Source organism: Homo sapiens, chromosome 19 (assembly GCF_000001405.40).
Source record: "Homo sapiens chromosome 19, GRCh38.p14 Primary Assembly".
Classification (NCBI taxonomy): domain Eukaryota; kingdom Metazoa; phylum Chordata; class Mammalia; order Primates; family Hominidae; genus Homo; species Homo sapiens.
Window position 1 is genome coordinate 28,226,136 of NC_000019.10, and position 19,156 is coordinate 28,245,291.

The 19,156-nt window shown below is 42.7% G+C and overlaps 2 annotated features.

Annotated features, from left to right (window-relative positions):
• Nucleotides 9,427-10,138: an enhancer, noted in NCBI's record as "NANOG-H3K4me1 hESC enhancer chr19:28726469-28727180 (GRCh37/hg19 assembly coordinates)". NCBI's record gives its function as "activates a minimal SCP1, AML or CMV promoter by ChIP-STARR-seq in naive H9 embryonic stem cells {active_cell/tissue: H9 hESC(naive)}" and the evidence as "EXISTENCE:reporter gene assay evidence [ECO:0000049][PMID:30033119]".
• Nucleotides 10,139-10,849: an enhancer, noted in NCBI's record as "H3K4me1 hESC enhancer chr19:28727181-28727891 (GRCh37/hg19 assembly coordinates)". NCBI's record gives its function as "activates a minimal SCP1, AML or CMV promoter by ChIP-STARR-seq in naive H9 embryonic stem cells {active_cell/tissue: H9 hESC(naive)}" and the evidence as "EXISTENCE:reporter gene assay evidence [ECO:0000049][PMID:30033119]".

The following is a 19,156-nucleotide window of genomic DNA, read 5'->3' on the forward strand; positions in this document are numbered from 1 at the left end:
CATTTTTTCCTCCAATACCCAGGGAGCTCTGACCGCAGGTTTGGCTGCCCAGTGCTTATGAACCATGTCTCCGATGATTTTATAATCTCCTCCATTAACTGCACTAACATTTTAATGAGTCTTGGCATCAAGTAGTTATCTGCAGATTTTCTGGTAAACATGCAGTAGAAAAGTTAATTTTTTAAAAAATCACATATTTTTCCTACAAAACTCAGTGTAAGAAGAATCTGAATGATCTGTGCTTCTAGAATACTTTTTTTTGTATTAGTTTATTCATATAGCTATTTGCTCTTCTCCTAGGACTTTATTGTGGCAGGGTGGGGTCTTTAAGACCTCTGTATCACATCACTTTCAGGAAGTGGATCTATGGAGAATGCAGCCCCTTTACTCAACACCTCCAAGAGCCGGAGCCTGTAAAATAGGCAGGAACCGACAAACTGCAGCAGGAAAGAAATATAAAACATAAATAGAAAATGATTATCTCATCAAGTAGCCATGCCCGAGTCCACGATGCATTGGCTCAGCTCTGCTCCTACATCCAACAGAAAGTTCCTTGCTTTTCATGAAAGAGCTCCTTGTGCAGTCTGATCATTCACAAGACCATTTAATTCCAAATACAATTCGGCCACTAATTTCAAACTGTTATCAAATGTGACAGACAGGTTTGTTTTTAGCTCCCAGTAGATGAATGGTCTGCTTTAAAATTGAACAGATAACAAAGGAGATCAGGACTGAGAGGCGCTAGAGAAATGAAAACATTTTCTAGCTCCCAGTAGCCAAGCTAAATCTTTGCTTTTTTGGCAGGTTACTCCTCAATTAAACATATAAAGGCAAAAGAGCCAGCAGGACCATCCTGAAGCAAGCTGGATTTGTGCCGTTCAGCTGTGTGTCACAGCCAGCCCCAGGGGCCAGGGATTCCTAATCAACATTCTCCCATGCAGACATGGGCAGGGCTTTTATTTTAGAGGGTCTTAAAGAACTAGAATTACATATTCCTTTTTAGAAATATCAAGTGCATCTTTCCTCAGGTTCTCTGCACCAACATTTTTTCTTTCTGACCGGACATTTTATATATATATATCAGAAAAATAATCAGTCTGCCTAGAATTCCCACCTTTTGACTGACAGGAAGCACCTTATCAATGATAGCCTAGCTTTGTCTGAAATCCCATCTGTTTTCAGACAAACACAATCTCTACATTTTTAAGAGACCTGATGCTAAAATATGAATTACAGCTTTGGGGACAGCCATTCCCAACACACATGAACAAAAGAAACTAATATATAGCATATTCAAAACTGATACTCTTCAACCTTTCTTCCTTGATGCAATGTCAGTGAGCCTCGGCATCCCTCCAGGGTGAGGGCAGATATAATAGGGTAGAGATAGATCGCATTGTGCAATGTCAATATCAATTTGAACCACCTGCTGTTCCTTATTTATTCTTATCATTGATTCTACAACTTTTTGCCCATATCATGCAGTTAAATTCTTCCTAATATGACAAGCCTTAAGGATTTATAGACATTTTCACATGCTATAGCAAATTACCATTCTTGCTAGAGTTCTGGTAACAACCCCCAGTGGGAAATGGTACCAAAAAAATTGAAGATACTATCAAAGTGATCCCCGGCTGCTGAGATGGAAATGAACACGAGTCATTTTTAGTTAACATCAAAATGAAAAACTTAAGTCGCAGCCACATCTCAGAGTGTACGAGAAAAACAAATCATAGTTCTCTTCTATGCTGCTGGCTTTTAAAGATTAACCTTGAAAGGAAAGGGGACAAAACAAAAAGTTGGTTTATGCTATATACAGTATATAGTGCCCTCCATCAACAACGCAGGGACTCACTTATTTCTTGGTGAGTCCGCACTTCCTTCTGGGTCGCTCTATTCCACCTCAATTTTTACTTTAATATTAATATCCATACATTGACAAACACACCGATGTTCTCCCACACAAGACCTAGCATTCAGATAGTGACTTAAACCTGCTTCTTTTTTCTTGCAGATGTTCCCGAGACTGTGGACTTGGGCCTTGCCAAGGCTGACACCAGAAATGACTGCACATATTTAGGAGTAAAGAACACAGGAACAGAAACCAAATACCGTATGTTTTCACTCATAAGTGGGAGCTAAATGATGAGAACACATGGACACACAGAGGGGAACAATGCACACTGGGGCCTATTGGAAGAGTTGCAGGGGGCAGGAGGGAGAGGATCAGGAAAAATACCTAATGGGCACTAGGCTTAATACCTGGGTGATGAAATAATCTGCACAAAAAAACCCCAGGACCCAAGTTTACCTATCCAACAAACCTGCACTTGTACCCCTGAAGTTAAAATAAAAGTTTAAAAATTTTAAAAAAACAAAACAAAAAGAACAGGACTTATAGGAGACCCATCGCCACCATCACCCGGCCCTATACCACATGCCCCTCTTCTTCCTGGCTCCATCCACAGCCTCTCCCTCCAGCCGGCCCACCAGGTGCCCCAGATGAGGTTCACCTCCCTAAGGCCACGTGTGCTGCAGCTTGGTCATGGATCTTTTGTGGCCGGCTTGAGCTTGGTGATTTCTGTGAGCATCTGGAGGGCAGAGCTGAGGTCTGATTAAGTCATGCTTCTTCCCAGGTCACCCTACACCAACATGGCAAAGGCAGCCTTTAGTTATTTACTTCAGTTTTGTTGTTGTTGCTGTTTTTTAATATTAGGTGGAACCACATAAAATCAACAATATTCAGCCATTGTTGACTCAGTCCATTGAGTGTCACTCAGTCCCAGGCTGAAAGCCTGAGAATCTGGGGCCACTGGTGCAAGTCTCAGAGTCTAAAGACTAGTGAACACAGACTGTCAAGGACAGGAGAAGAAGGATGTCCCAGCTCCGAGAGAGAGAGAGAGAAAGGAGAAAGAGAGAGAGAGAGAGACAGAGAGAGAGAATGGCTTTTACTCTGCTTTTTCATCCTATCCAGGTCTCAGCTGACCAGACAGTGCCTTCCCACATTGAGGGCTGATCTGCAAAACTGGCAATTTCATATGACTTATTTTAATGGATGAAACAAATGAGTCCATGGCATCCATTCCTTGTAATGCTAACTTTCTCAAGCGCCTAGAGTCAAGTTTTTTCTAGGCTGTATGAAATTTTACACAGGTCCTAAGATTGTACACATTGTCTTTTATTTGCCTGACTAATAGGTTGCCTGGTAATGAGGACTTATTGGCCCAACAAGCTGCCAGTGAACCAGAATGCTTTAAACACAAGGCAATGGCAGAAGCCCACCCCAGCTCAGAGAGGAGCTTCTACTTAGCCCCCTGGAGCTTCATGATGTTTTCTTCCTCTTAATGGCAAAGGTACAAATCTCCACTCTGCTGTTGCTGCCAAGAAACACAAGTTCCTTAATGACCTTTTATATTTTCACTTTTTCTCTACCTTCTCTCCATTCTTAGAGCTAAAATGAGAAAAGAAAAAGCTTTTTTCGTTGAAGGCAGTTGAAAACTTAAATTAAGACAATAATTTAAATTTTCTTCACTATTTTTATTTTTATTTTTTTTAGATGGAGTCTCACTCTGTCACCAAGGCTGGAGTGCAATGGCGTGATCTCAGCTCAATGCAAACTCCGCCTCCCAGGTTAAAGCAATTCTCCTGCCACAGCCTCCCAAGTAGCTGGGATTACAGGCACCCACCATCATGACCGGCTAATTTTTTATTTTTGTAGAGACGGGGTTTCACCATGTTGGCCAGGCTGGTCTTGAACTCCTGACCTCAGGTGATCTGCCTGCTTTGGCCTCCCAAAGTGCTGGGATTACAGGCATGAGCCACTGTGCCCGGCCTGCAGCTTTTAATATTATCACAACTAATCAGTCACCTGACACATAGCACTTCACAACACTTTTAAATTTGTCATCTCATTTGATCCCTTAGATCATTTGATCCCTACGTGATCTAAGGGATGACTCTTCCCATTTTTCATCTGAAGAGACTGAGGAATTGAGAGTTTCAGCGTCTTTCTAAAGGTCACCCCAGCAAGCAATACAGCAGGAGGCCTTTCAAAGCCAGCGCCCTTTGGGCTGGCCTCACTGTCTCTTCTGGGAAGAGGGTGAACACTCTAGAAAGAGTCTCCACATAAGCATAGACATGTGCCCATGACTCAGGAGCTTACGGGGATCAGCAGGTGCCAATTCAAGAAGACAACACAGAGCAGAGAGCATGGAGGTGAACCAGGGAGTGCATGCCTCGCCTAAAGTACCAATTATCCTTAGGAGTCACCAGATGTACACCTGGTCACTCAGATGCCTAATGTGACACCTGACACATTAAAGAAAAAGAAAAAAGAGCAAGGCAAGCAGCAGTAGAAAAAGAAAAAAAAAGGAAAATCTCTGAGTCACAAGAAAGTGGCTGGAATTCTAGTTTAAAAATCATATCATCAATGTAAGTCTGAGGCCAGCCCCCCTCCCCCCACCTCAAGACTGCACCTCTCCATCACAGACACTGACCCCTAGCTGGTTCCAAATAACTCAATTGCCTGGAGGAAGATACAGTGTAAAGTGCAGAGTTACAACTGTATGTTCATTTTTTTTCTTCTCTGTACAGCTCATCAAACCTACCGGCCCAGGCCTTATGAATGCCTTCTCTCAGACCCAGCAGCCTGCCAGGGAGGGCTTCAAAGGGCTTCACCATCAAACTCATTGCTCATAAAATGAGAAAATCTTGTTATTTTAAAGGCTTGTACATCTACCATGACATGCTTAGGCAAAGCAGACACCAAGAAGCACCCCATGTGCTGAAACTCTAGTGACCGCATAGGGACTATTTCAATTCTTAGTTTGTATTTGTTTAGAGGCTGCAGGGAACTGGCCTTGGTGTGAGTTCTAGAAAATTAAAAAGAGGTTCTAATTGTATTTCATATTGCAGCTTTTATTTCAATCTCAGAAGCTTTCTTAAAGCTCAGAAAGCTTTTAAAAAGCGTAAGAACGGTGAGAAGTAATTTCGATATTTTTGCTCTTTATTTAGTCTATTGAAGCAGGACTCTCCAACTTAGATGCCTATAGAAATGTAATGTGAGTAGATGAAGTGGTCTTGGGATATTCTCTCAACAGATACTTGTGAAAGTAAAGTCTATTTCCACTTGTCCATTAAGCTAAGAAAGGCATGGTTTCATTCTAATTTTCCTGAAACATGTGTTTCTCACAATCTTTCCTTCACTTCTGATAGAAACAAGAGTGTTAGTTTGGGTTTCCTAAACACAAAAATCTGAGACAAGGGTTTGGTAACAAGTCATTTCTCTGAGAAGTGATCCTCTGGTGGAGAGAAGTCAGACAGGACAAGAGGGCAAGGGAGGCAATGAAGAGCGTGCTCCCAAGCACTGTAGGCAGTCAGGCTCCACCTGCTCTCTGGAAGCCGGGGGCTCTATGGGAGAAAGAATGGAGCTTGCTGCAGTTACTTTACCTGGGGGCAAGGCGGTGAGGACTCTTATTTTTACCCACCAACTTCTGTCTGTCATTGTTTGTTGGCTGCTCTGGGTAGCATTAACTTCCCAGCACTTCTGGCCTGCCCCAGTGTGGTCTTGGGCATGAGAGGGGAGCATGGAGCAAACATGTAGGGCACCAAGAGCATGTGCTACAGGGTCAGTGAAGAGTCAATTATCCTATCTCTCTTCTATCAAACCCAAAGCACAGGAACAATGGTTAATGAGCATCTGATGCTCCATTTTCATGTCAGGGATCAACAGGGAGTGGTGTAGGAGGGGACAACCTGGTGAGTGTCTGAACTGTCAAGAAGGGCAGTGACAGGTCAGCTCCAGCTGACAGTTTCCATGCAGGAGTGCAGGTGAACTTTCCCAGGTCTTCTCTTTCTCCAGAAAGCTAGGAATCTGGCTCTTTATGCAACATATGTAACTTATAAATGTTAGCAACTAACAAAAACCATGTTAACATCTGCAGGGATATGCATCTCAGGGCTGAATTTTCCTGTGTGTGGCCAGTTTCTATCTTCTGATATAAAGTTTTGTTTTAGTACCTACTCTATGCCCAGCATTTTCTTGGGTGATATGAGGAACTTAGACCTGTTTCAGGTCACTTACAGATGTCCTAGTGGGTGGCAAAGATAGTTGCAGGATGACTTAGAACATAGCACGCATCCATGCAACAGACAGAAAAAAAAGGCTGCTAAGATTGAAGAGGCACAAGATTTTAAAGAAAAACAAAACACAACTAAGCCTTTTATTGTTGAACTTAAAGACATCCATCAATACTGCTTGACATTAAATGCTATTGTTGAACATATATGGGAGCTTACCGTGTGTGGGGTACAGTACCAACAAAGTCAAAACCAAGTCAAAGACCAGAGCATCAGGCAGAAGAAAGAAGGTTTAGCTCACGTGGCAGGGGATAGAATACCTAAAAATATGGAATCAAAATTTTGACGCAGGTGAAGGTTTTTTTTGACACTTTTACATCTCATAAGTTCTTTTCTGAAGCCATGCTCATGTCAGGAATTTTGTAACCTCATGGCCCACTCCCTGCTAATCTCAGAACTCCCTTGACCAACATGTGGTCCCTAAGCCTCTCCCATGTGGTGTGTGTGCAGGGTCCTCAGATCCAGGAAGGGGCTGAGTCAGACATTTTCTCCAAAGGAACTTACATGCACCTCCAGGGATGCACAGGACCATCCACTGGGCGCAGGACAAAAACGTTGAACAAGAAAAGCGTGTTAATACATGATTGTCTCTGGATCTCGCTCTCAGATATTTTATCAGATGAACACATGTCCCATGTGGTTCATGAGGTCCCTTGAGAGAGAGAGGAGTTTCATCAATCAGAAGCAAGTGTGGTTTTTGCAGGTTACTTGGCTTGGTTAGTGGACTTATGGATGGTGACATCTTGTTTTAACCAAACCAACATTCACCAATGGACAGGAGGCTTATGAAGATTCCTACAGAGAAAGCTGCAGACTGGAGATAATATTGTTTCTGAGCTGAACTGAGGTTTGCACAGTAAAGCCAAACATCCACACTGAGGCTTTGCAGCGGGAGAAAGGAGGTCATTTATTTGCAGGGCACCAAACAAAAAAAAAATCAGGCAGCTCACGCTTAACACCTGGCCTCCCCAATGGCTCACAAGCATGGGTTTTTAAAGGCATAAGCTGAGTGGAACTTGAAATGACTTCTCAGAAACAGGACTTTAAATGGGTTTTTAAATTTCAGGAAAGCAGAAGTTGTAGGCAAAAATTATAAATAAATACTGGAGTTAATACATTTATTTGGACTGAAAGATATCTTGAAGTGAGGGCTTACAGGTCTTACGTAGATTCAAAGATTTTCTTATCTGCAATTGGTTAAGGAAGAGAAGCTTTGTTTAAAATGTTGAGGTCAGGGAAAAAAATGTGAAGTCTGGCCCATGGCCATAACTTACTCCAGGAAGAAATTTAGAAGAGAGAAAGGTGGCCAGAGCTCAGTCCTCAGTTTTCCTCTCTCCAAGGTCTAATCCCCGTGGATCTATTTGGTGGGCGTCCTCAGTAGGGAATAGAGTTTTTGAAACACAACTCAGGATCATATAAGATGTTATCTTTAGTTTCTATAGAAACCAAACATCTCCTGATTCTAACTTCCTTGGCTATTGTTTTAAGCTCCTATTTATTACCTTCTTGCTTATCAAGTTGTTTATTTACTTCTCATGGATCACTGGGCTCCTTGAATTTTCCTTGAAGGAACATAGGATTTTTATTTATTCCCATGCTTGGGGTGGTGGGGCTGGCAGGCTCCTCAGAAAGTGTTCCTGCTTCATCTCTTTACTGATGATACGAGCACAATGGAGCAGCAAAACGGGGTGATAGAACTCCATCTCCCAGTTTGAGCTCCTTTTTAGCCACATTATGAGGTTAAAAACCATGATTATCTTATTAGATAACTGGTCCAAAAAGGTCAGCAAAAATGAACAAAACACTCAAGTGATTTTGTATCTGTTGTCATTAATAATGATAGGCCCTAAGTACCAATTGTGCCTTTAAAAATTAGATAAAGATAGTAGTAGTACATATTTATAATTTACAAATAAATAAATATTGATCTACTGGGAGGACAGGCTGAAAAGTCTTTACTAATGGAGTGCATGAAGAAAACTGAACTAGATGAATAAATTAGTTGGAACAAATAAATGAGGAAGGAAAATAAAGTACTATAAAAGGGAAAACTTCTATATCAAGGTTATTTCATCATGAGATTCAAACAACATAATTAATTACACATATTTAACACATCATCCAAAATAGGAAACAAAGGAAAACTTGGACTTGAAATTACCGATCCTCCCCTTATCAGCAGGAAATAAACAAACAAATAAAACCAGAATCGTGTCTGAGCTTTGACACCAGTCTACAGAAGGTATATCATAAAGAAATCGCCGTTCTAGTTCCTGAGCCTCATCCTGACCAAGGCAGATTGGAGAGTTGGGGCAAAAGCAGAGACACCATCCAATGAGGCACTAATTTTCCACAATGTTTTCCCCAAGTCATTCACTGACTTTTCAAAAAACACCGATTCAAGGCAAAGAGGCACTTTTGCTGTAGAACTGGGTCATGCTGCACTGAAATTCTTCTTTGCACCAGGCTCTGGCTGCCTCTCTTGTCCTGCTGATTGGCTTTTTAATAGGCTCTGTGAGGCTGGTTAACTTTTCAGTTTGAGTCATGCACACAAGTTCATCTGGGTGTTGACAGCCGCATTCCTGTGCCCGGCTTCATAGCAGTTCGGAGCTGCACTGTAGAGCATTCTCCACTGAGCTGAGCGGAACTTGAAATGACTTCTCAGAAACAGGACTTCAGGTTTCTTTAACCTATTTGCTACTCTTTCTCAGCTTAACTAACAAATATCTTCCTGTTCCTCTACGTGTGAACTTTTTTGTTGTTGTTGTTGAAATGTATCCAGTAAATCGGAAAAGGCCAAAATAATCTTCAGGAAAAATTATCTGATTTCAGAAAATTGCAACTATCATAAGTGTGTGTGTGTGTGTGTGTGTGTGCGCATGAAAATCTCCATCTCCTCATTCTCAAACAAAAAAGTCAAGGTCAATTATGTGTCAATAAAGCATTTTTAAAAAATTTCATGACTTCCTAAGAGCACAGTTTCAAATAGGACATTTCCCCCAAAGCAACCCAAAAGTGAACAGAGGAGGAGCCAGCTCAGCTGACCTGACCAGGTCCCATTGGTCTCCTCTCCCATCTTTTAATGGATCCACCTGACCGGAACCCACTGAGAGGACGCCCTGATGGCTAGAGGCTCACGAAGGCTTGTGCCATCACTGTGATTCTCCAATTCTCTAAAAGCCTGTTTTCAGGAACGTCTAGGTGTTTGACACAGTTAAGTGTTTGCTAAAATGCAATCGTTTCAGATCAGCTGAATAGAAATTAGCAGGTGGTGACCACATTTTATAATATGATTTTTGAAGAAGTATAACTATTTGCTTTCTTCAATTTAGTTTTTTAAAAACCAACTTCCTTACGAGAAGCAGGTTTCAAAAGATATTCCACACTAAAGTTACTCATTTCTCTAGGATGCTTCCCTCTTCCTGCCACCTTTGAGCTTCTCAGTGCTGTGACTGTGTCCTGCTCCTCTTTATACCCAACTTCCCTGGTGAGTAACAGTTGCCTGAGAAGAGTGCAGTGATTGAAGAAGAAGTAAGTGGGTGGGTGGCTGATTTCCATTTTAACCTATCTCATTAAGAGCTGCATAGTGGGAGAGAGAACAAAGCCTTTGAAGTCAGTCTGAGCCTGGGCTCTGATGCTCACTAACTGCATAACCTCTGGCCGGTAACCTCGAGCCCTACCTCATAGGGCTGTTGTGAGGAGTAAATATAAGCATGCTTGTAATAGCTTTCCCTGAGTCTGCTCAGCTCCCTGGCTACCTCCTGTTCTCCCACGTGAACCCACTGTTTATGGAGGTGACTGCAGGTCTGATCACCTAAACTAATGAAAGGGGTGATGGAGCAGATCCTAGGGAGCCACCACAGGGCAGAGAGGTGTCTGAAGAGAAGACAGTAATGCTCCTCTCTGCTTACCTTTTTTTAAGTTTCTGTCAAATGGGCCTGTTTGCGGGTGGATGCAGTACCTGCCCAAGCCCCTGCCCAGTCCTGTGCTAGGCACTGGGTGCACAGAGTAGTCCCACCCATGGGTGGTTCATGTTCAGCCAGCACAGCAAGCCACCATCTGGCAGTGAACACACCGGTCATGTCCCCTTGCTGGAACTAATCATGGCAGCCAGAGAGACACAAAGCCTGGCTCATTGAACTGAAAGGAGAAGAGTAGCTCCCTCTCACACATCATGTGCTTTTACGAGAAGACAGGCACGCCTGCCGCGTGCCCCATCCAGCTCCAGGGGCCCAGCTGTGTTGTGCAAAGGAAGGCTTTAGACGGAGGCTGACGAGCTGGCTTTAGATGGAGGCTGACGAGCTGGCTTCAGAAGGAGCCCCCTGGGCAGGAAGCGGCCCTGCCTCTGATCTTGAATTTGACCAACTGTGAACCAGAATGGAGAAAGGGGGATGTTCACCAATTAGCTGAAAGTAAAACTCAACTCAAACTTCAGGAGCCCAAAGTGGCGATACCTCGAGCCATCCCCTGGCATTCTTCTTATGGGTATGAACAGTGCTGTGAGGGTGGGCAGCCACTCTTGAGGGGCTCTGACTGCCCTGGAAGAAAAGAAGAAGGAAATTCAAGAGCTGTGAGTGCAGTCAGAAACTCCAGTGAGTTCCAAAAACACAGGAAGTTGAGATTCAAGGTAAAACAGAAGAGGGCAAAGAACATCTGAATCTTTCACTCCACTGTATCAGTAAGTCCACATTTAGATCACGCTTCCTGAGAGGAGGGCTATGCCTTATATATCTTTTCTTATTTCCCCATCGAATAGTTCCCAGGGCCTGGCTGAGTGGTAGTGACTGCAGTGACAGTAACAGCCATTGCTTACTGTGTACAGCTATATGTGAGTGCTTTCTAGACATCACCTCATTCAATCTTCTCCATAATCTAGAAGTAGGTACTATTTATCCCTACTCTGTAGATGCAGAAAGGCAGTCTCAGAATGGCAGAGTGAATGGGCCAGGGGTGAGGGCTCACACCTATAATCCTAGCACTTTGGGAGGCCGAGGCAGGTGGATCACCAGAGGACAGGAATTCGAGACCAGCCTGTCCAACACGGTGAAATCCCATCTCTACTAAAAATACAAAAAAAAAAAATTAGCCGGGTGTGGTGGTGGGCACCTATAATCCCAGCTATTCGGGAGGCTGAGGGAAGAGAATCGCTTGAACCCGGGAGGCAGAGGTTGCAGTGACCTGAGATCATACCACTGCACTCCAGCCTAGGCAACAGACTGAGACTCTGTCTCAAAAGGAAAAAAAAAAACGAATAACAGAGTGAATGGCTCAAGATTACACAGCCAGGAAGAAGCAGGGCCAGCTTCTTCCCAGCGTAGCTCTAGTGACTTAGTCTCTGCCCTTACTCACCATTCTGCCACCTTTGACGTAACTAACCACCTACCATCTCTGACATGACCTCCCCTTCTCTGTGCAGCCTTAAATGATGTCTGCTTCATTTCCAGTGGGTGTGGCCTCCAGAAAAGGAAATTGGAAAGAACGTGGAACTCTCAACAACGAAAGCAATGAAGCTGCCTTGCTTAAGGAGGAAAGGATGGTGGTGACCAAGTTTCCAACCTTGCTGGGTGGGACAAGGGCAGAGAGGAGCACCCAGGACCCTTCACTCATGTGACCAGCCTGAGGCAGAGCAAATGGGGCTGCTTAAGGGCACAGCTCTTCTCCCTACCGAGGCAAACTCACTGTGGAAGGGGCTGTTTCCAAGCACCTATGATGTTGAAACAGCAAAGTTATAACCGGTCAGAAATTGCACCTTTCTAAAAAGAAATTATGACAATTAGCCCACATAAAAACATTATTTCCTTCAACATAGGCTTGAAATTCAAAACCACTATACTATAATAATTTTTCATTTTCATGGGTGCAATAATTATTGCACTAGAGATAATGGGGCCCATACTAGAAAGCAGAAACAATTGCCCTGGTTTAAGAGCTTATTAATGAACAATACAGCCATAGTCAATTAAGGCACAGGAAGGAAACATGGCTGCTGGTGACTGGTGGGTTGGTTGCTAGATTTAATTTTTGTTATTGGGTCAGTAAAGGCAGGAAGAAAATACTTCTCAAGTGGGAGGGAAGGAAATTACAAATTTGATGAAAATAAATCACCTTTTGAGCTTTTGAGTCTTTCCAATTGAGGCTTGGTTAATGTAGGTGACAGCACTTTCTGCCTGTGACTTGGCACAGGGTTATTGGGAGCCATTTGTAACACTCCCATTCTGTCTGTAAAAAGACATTTTAATTGAAAAATCATTTGCCCATAAAATTATTATCATCAATTTACAGTCCACCAAAGGGCTGCATTATGACCATAAAACAATTTGTAGTGGATTCATTTTACTCACTAAATCACTTTACATTATACTGTGAACAGAATGATTAAAGCAAGTTAGCATTTTGTTGGCAAAGTAATTACATTATTATGCATTTCACCCACAGAGATACTTCTACTACTGAGTCCATTTGTCTTGTTGACAGAATATCTATATGCATTGGACAGAATGCATTTTCTTTAGTTGATGCAATTAATTTTATTCACCAGACACTTTTAAACCTAAGCTAAAATGTTTTTGTCACAGAAATAGATTTGATTGGGGAACAAAATTAATCTTGCCTACATGATTTGTGCTCAGAAAGTTTCTTCCAATAACTGTGCAAATTTGCAAACAAGTAAACAGGGAGAAAATAATAAGCAAGAGCAAAACAAAAGCCTCAAAAAGCAATTCTCCTCCTGGGTCTGTTTTTTAAAGTCCTCTATGTACCCAGGCAGGATAAAAATCCAAAGACACCTTGAACAGGTGGAGCAGGAGATGGTGGTGAAAAGAGAGGGGCTTCTCCAACCTGAACAATTTGGCTGGGAAAATAGTGAGCACAGATTAATCTTTTAAAAAGACCCCACACAATTGCTTGAGAAGCGCCTCAGCTAGTGTCTTTTTGTCACCAACTTTGTATCCTAGCGGTAGAAATGACTTTGGACTTTCCTGGGGCCGGTGCCAGGCTCTGAGTGTAGTCAGGCTTGTGAGGCAGAAGTGAAGATCTCAGGCACCCCAACTGTGTCCCATACAAGATGCCTAAATGGGTTGTCTAAAACCAAACACGAGAAGCAGAAAATGGCTTGTCTTGCACAGTGGGCATTGGGCCCACCTGTTTGCCGCTGGAAGTCCCAGGCTTCGAACCGCAGTCCCCTCCTTGCAAGAGGCCCAGGACCTCAGCCACCACCAGAGGGCAGGAAACCACATCTCACTCTCCCTGAAGCCCCCACAGCACAGGGCTTGGCATGCGCAGGTCATTCTGGAAAGACTTCCAGATTCATTCCCTCATTCTTCAACTCCTATTTTCTGAGCACCTACTCTGTGTCCTAAAAAGTTCAGCAGTGAGCAGAACCCTGCTCTGAGCAGGCTGACCACCTGCTGGAGAAGTCAGACAGGTGAAGAGGAAATTAAGACACAGACAGTATGGGGAGGAGGTTCCTTATGGTGTGGGAACAGTTCTGTATCTTGATTGTGGTGATGTCTATACAAATCTCCATACAGGTGACAAAATTTCCTAGAACTGTGCACAAAAACATGCACACACACAAAAAAATGAGTCCATGTAAAAACTGGTGAAATCTGAGTAGACCAGGTCAATTGTTTGAGTCCAGGAGTTTGAGGCAGCAATGAGTTGTGATTGTGCAACTACACTCCGGTCTGGGCCACAGAGCAAGACCCTGTCTCTAAAATTAAAAACAAATTCCAAAGTGTAAACAAAAACTGAACAAATCAGCAACTTATTTGTCCATCGTAGTCTAGTAGTTAAGCACATTGTGCCAATGCCAAGTTCCTGATTTTCATAATGCACTACAGTTATATAAAATATTGCCATAGGTGGAGGCTGGGAGATGGGTATAACTCTGCACTTGTTTTGCAACTGCTCTGATCTATAACTATTTCCTAATAAATGGTTTAAAGAAACACTGATGTGCAAAGCACTGATGGAAAACGCAGGAGGCTGCAGAAGTCCAAAGAAACGCTGGATTCTTGGGGGCAGCAGGGAAGGTTTCCTGGAAAAACTCATATCTTCCCAAAGGCAACCCAGTTAAGTGCCCAGAAGGGTCAGCAGGAGGGGAAAAGTGAAGCTGGGAGTGACAGGCAGCAGAAATGGAGGTAACTGTAGCACAGACCCAGTCCCAAGACATTCAGATTCAAATTGTATTTAAATGCTGGAGAGTTTTGGCTAAGCTGAAATTTAAAAGAGATTTAGGACCCCTAAAGGGGAAGATTGGCTGAGAGGAAAAATAATCCTTCAGGTCTGAGGAGTGTTGGAAGGACACGCTGGAGGCCCCTCCTTTGTAGTCACGTGGCTAGCAGGCACCTGCAAGCTGAAACGTGTGGGCTGGAGGGACTGCGGCAGTGACATGTCTCCGCAGACCTGGCTGCCATTCCTGGTTCACTGGCTACACCCAGCTCCATGGCACCCATGTCTCTGCACATTTTCCCCATAGAACACATGTACCTTATTCTCCCAGGATTCTGCCAGGTAGCTCTGGGCTTCATCAAGACAACTGCCACCTGCTGCCACACACTCCCGCACATCACAATGGTGAAATATGGGGCCCACAGGCAAGGTGGAGGGATGAGTAGTTTGGCTGGAGAGGCTTTATTCCATCAAGCCCCTACTGTTATCCATCCATCTAAATCATACAACTCAGGTTATCAACACTCCATGAAACAACCACTCCAAACTTCCTGCTCCAGGAGTTTTTATTATGAAGACCATCCAAGCCTAAGCAACAAGCAAAACCCTGTTTCTACAAAAAAAAGAAAATAAATTGAAAAATTTTTCTGGCATGATGGCACGTGCCTACAGTCATGACTACTTGGGAGACTGAGATAGGAGAATTGCTTGAGCTCAGTAGTTCAAGGCTGCAATGACTTGTGATTGTGCAACTGCACTTCAGTCTGGGCAACAGAGAAGAACACTGTCTCTAAAAATAATAAATAAATAAAAGTCCAAGTGTAAACAAAAACTGAACAAATCAGCAACTTATTTGTACATTGTAAAAACATCACAGCTGAGCACTTATAAGTTCCACTGGGAAAGAGACACAGGGTCTGCAGCCCCAGATACAATAAGAAAAGTGACTGCTGTCTGACACTGAGCTTTATACAGATTCCCGTGGAGTGCACACAGCAACCCTGTGGAGGCTGATGCTGTATCATCATCATGCACATTTTATAGATCAGTGCATGCACAAAAAGGTTAGATAACTTGCCCAAGGGTGTGCAGTCAGTATGTGCTGGGACCATGACCCAAATGCAGGGTGTTCCGTTTTCTCTTCCACTCAAGCACCAGCTCCTCCACTGTTTCCATGAGCATCTCCACTCACCTTGCACAAGATTGACGCCTTTCCAGCTCCCCAGACTGGAGCTAAGGAAGCTTGGAGTAGCTAAGGACCATTCCCTGCAACACCTCCAGACACACCTCCTGACCTTTATGATACACCTGGAAGACAGGTGCATCCCCTGAAATCCCTTGGACCAAGGACAAGATCCTTCAGTAGCCCTTGGTCTTTCTTGAGATACAGGGAAGCTTTGTAAGATTCCCATTAATGAAATATTTAGGTGATACTTCTCTCACTTCAGAAAACAAATGAGAAAAGGAGTTTTGCTTACAGTACATTAAGTTACTTTAAATTACTGGAAGCCATTTGTAGATAACTTCCTGGAAAATTTGAATATGGATAAGGATATGTTACTCATCAGCCTGACACTTTCATAAAATACCCTCCAAATAGAACAGCAGCAAGGAAAGGAGCATATGTTTTCATCTCCAATATGGGCATTCTATGAAATGTAAGCACTGTATCATTACTGATCCCTGAAAAACTGGGTCATAATGAGTCTTGAACTTAGAAAGTCAAAAATTAGGTTCTAAAAAAAAGTATGCTCCTCTCACCCTATCTCTATCACTGAAAATTAAAAAGATAAATTTCAAAAGCCAAAACACATGACCCAAACTCTTGAGCATTCTGTGAGTCTAATTAGATGTGCTGTTGTCTTGATTTTTGTGGAAATAAAAGCAGCCATCACAGAAAGAATTGAACGGTTATATTATTTGTGAAAGTAGATTTATATAAAGTTAGTGATTAAGGCTTTGTGACATAAAGTCATCTGGTCAATGCATTCAAAGGCCCAGTCAATCACCCACAAGTTGAACAGATGAGACAACAATGGCAAAGACTTTCTTCAAAAGTCACCGCTAGAGGGGGCTCTAGAGACATCCACCCTGGCTACCCATCAGCATCATCTGGGGTGCATGTTAAAAACAAGATGCCTGAGAGCCATCCTCCAAAATTCTGGTTCAGTCACCTTAGGGCGTAACCAAGGAACTGGCATTTTCGTGAAGCACCCAACTCATGCATGTGCAGACATCCCTGAGCCTGCGAACTACTCCCCTATATAGCTAGTCAGTCTACAAAGAGGAAGCTACACTGGAACACCCGCCATAGAGCTGTTTGCCCAAGGCCTATCTTATCCGGGGACAGACTCCTTGATGGCTAACCCTGTCCTAACACACCCTGTCCACTCCATCTATTTTAAATTATTACTGTTTTTGAGTCTATCATTATTAAAGGATTTAAGTTTTTATATTATTTTAGTACTTTGCATTTGAATGATCTTTTCTACAGCCTCTCATCTTTAAAAAGAGATAAAAATACTGCCTATGTTGTAATCTGTAAATAAGAATGAGTGAGGTAGCCCAGGTGGAGTTTTGCACAGGCTTGGGACATAATGTGTGTTTAATAAATGTTGGCTATTACGGTGTCATTCTTGCCTGTGACCCATCATGTATAAGGAGGAATGAATTGTCATCATTGCAGTGGAATACATTTTGGCTGCCTAGGTTAGATAAATTGTTTAACTGTGTGCAATGTCCAGAGATTATAATTTCTGCTATATGGAGGGCTGCTGGGAACCAGAGGGTATGATTGATTCGAACTTTATTTCAGAGACTTTGGTTCCAAGTTCCAATCCTCAACCCTCCTGGCCACCCACAAAGAGTCAAGAAAATATCCAAGCATATTTCCAACATTTATTGGAAACATTTATTTTAAATATATTTATAATAGCCAAAAATTGGAAACAATCCAAATGTTCATCAGCAAGAGAATAAATTTCGTATATTTATACAATGGAATATGACACAGAAATTAAAAATAATAAACTGCTAAGAAACACAATAACATGGATAAATCACACAGACATTGTTCTCACAGCTGAACACAGTAAGCCAGGTTCAAAAGACTACATAATGTATGAGGGTATAATTCAGGACAGTGGCTACTTCTGGGAGATGTTAACTGGGAAGAGGCAAAAGGAACTCTTCTGGGGAGCTGGAAATGCTTTATGTCTTGTCTGGTTGATGATTTTAGACGTAAAAATTAATTGAGCTGTACATTTAAAATTAGTGCACTTTACAAAGTTTGCTGCATGCATTATACCTTAATTAAAAATTTTTTAAAGCATAAGATGCATCTTAATGCTAGTTTCAAGTGAGATTTCTCACCCTTTTAAACTCATCTGTGTGTGAACACAGCTTCTCTTTTACTTGCGGGTGGCCCCAAGTGGATGGTGGGAACAATGCAGAATAAGAAAACTTTTTCTCGTCTTGTCCCTCAATTTCTTATTCTCTCTTCTCTCAGTATTTCTAGCTTCTTTTAAAGCACCAAATGATTATTCTGTGATCGTTAATCAGATCGCCCCACTGCCTGATTTATCTGACAAAACAGTTATTTCTAAACACCTAAACTCAATCTATCCCTTTCCGATGCTAGCCCATTACTCCTCCTCTCCGCACCACTGTCCTGCATACAAGATAAATCGCTCTCAGCTCAGGGCTGAATGCAGTTTCCATCTAGAAGCCAATTAGGGAATTGCATTTGTTTAGTCTCCCAACAACCCAGATCAATGGCAGACCCTTTGATGACTTGTGAAATAACCCAAGTAATGGGCTTGACAATGTTGCCTCAGGAAAGATTTTCAGCTGAAGTTGAGAGAAGCAGTAAAAGTCTCCTTTTATTCACCACCAAGCTCTATCCCTCTTGACTTTATTCAAACCTTGCTTCATCTTAGGCTTTTCTGGAAGAGATATTCTGGGTTTCACTCTTAAAATCTGCCAGCTAAAACAGAGGGAAGGCCCACCTGATTAGCTGCCTCTATAATGGATTTCATTAATTCGCTCACTTAATCGTTCACTAAAAAATCACCTATAGAGCACCCGTTATGCTCAGCAGACAGCAGAAAACAAAACCGAGTCTCTGACCTCATGGAACATATATTCTAGCTGGAGAGACATAAAATAAATGAGGTAATTTTACAGAATAACAAATTACATGAGTAAATAAAATGAGAAAGTATGAACAAGAATGCCCAGGAAAGTAGAGACACTTTATATAGGACTGCCAGAGAAGCCCTCTTTGAGGATGCAACACTTGCGCAGAGACCTGAATAATGAGACACAGTCAGTTATGCACATGCTGGGAAAATCATCCCAAGCAAAAGAATAATCACTTTCAGGGGTCCAAACTCTCTGTGTGAGTTCTAGAAACAGAGGGAAGGGGAAACCATAAAGCAAACCCTAACTTTGTCCTACCGCCTGGTCTCTCTACAAGGACTGCCTCCTCCTTTGCTATTCAGCAGGGGCCCTTCCTAGTGCCATGGCACTGGCTCTTTCTGAAAAAATGCCAACGAAAATATCGGCAACCACCATGATTCATTTTCCAAAGTACTGTTGGGGTAACCCAACTCCCTTGTTCCAACTGAGGCTGAACTGAGATTCCTGAAGCTCTGGGAGACCAACAGCAAGACTCCAATTAGGCCTGACCATGTTCAACATAAAAAGAGCTGTCCCTGGGAAGAAGGTGCTGATGGAGACAAGCTCCAAGGCTGCAGCAAAGACAGCAGTGCAGATCGATAAACACAGCACAAATTAGGATTTCATTTTCAATTCTTTTGTCAAGACTAATTGCATGCTCACTTCG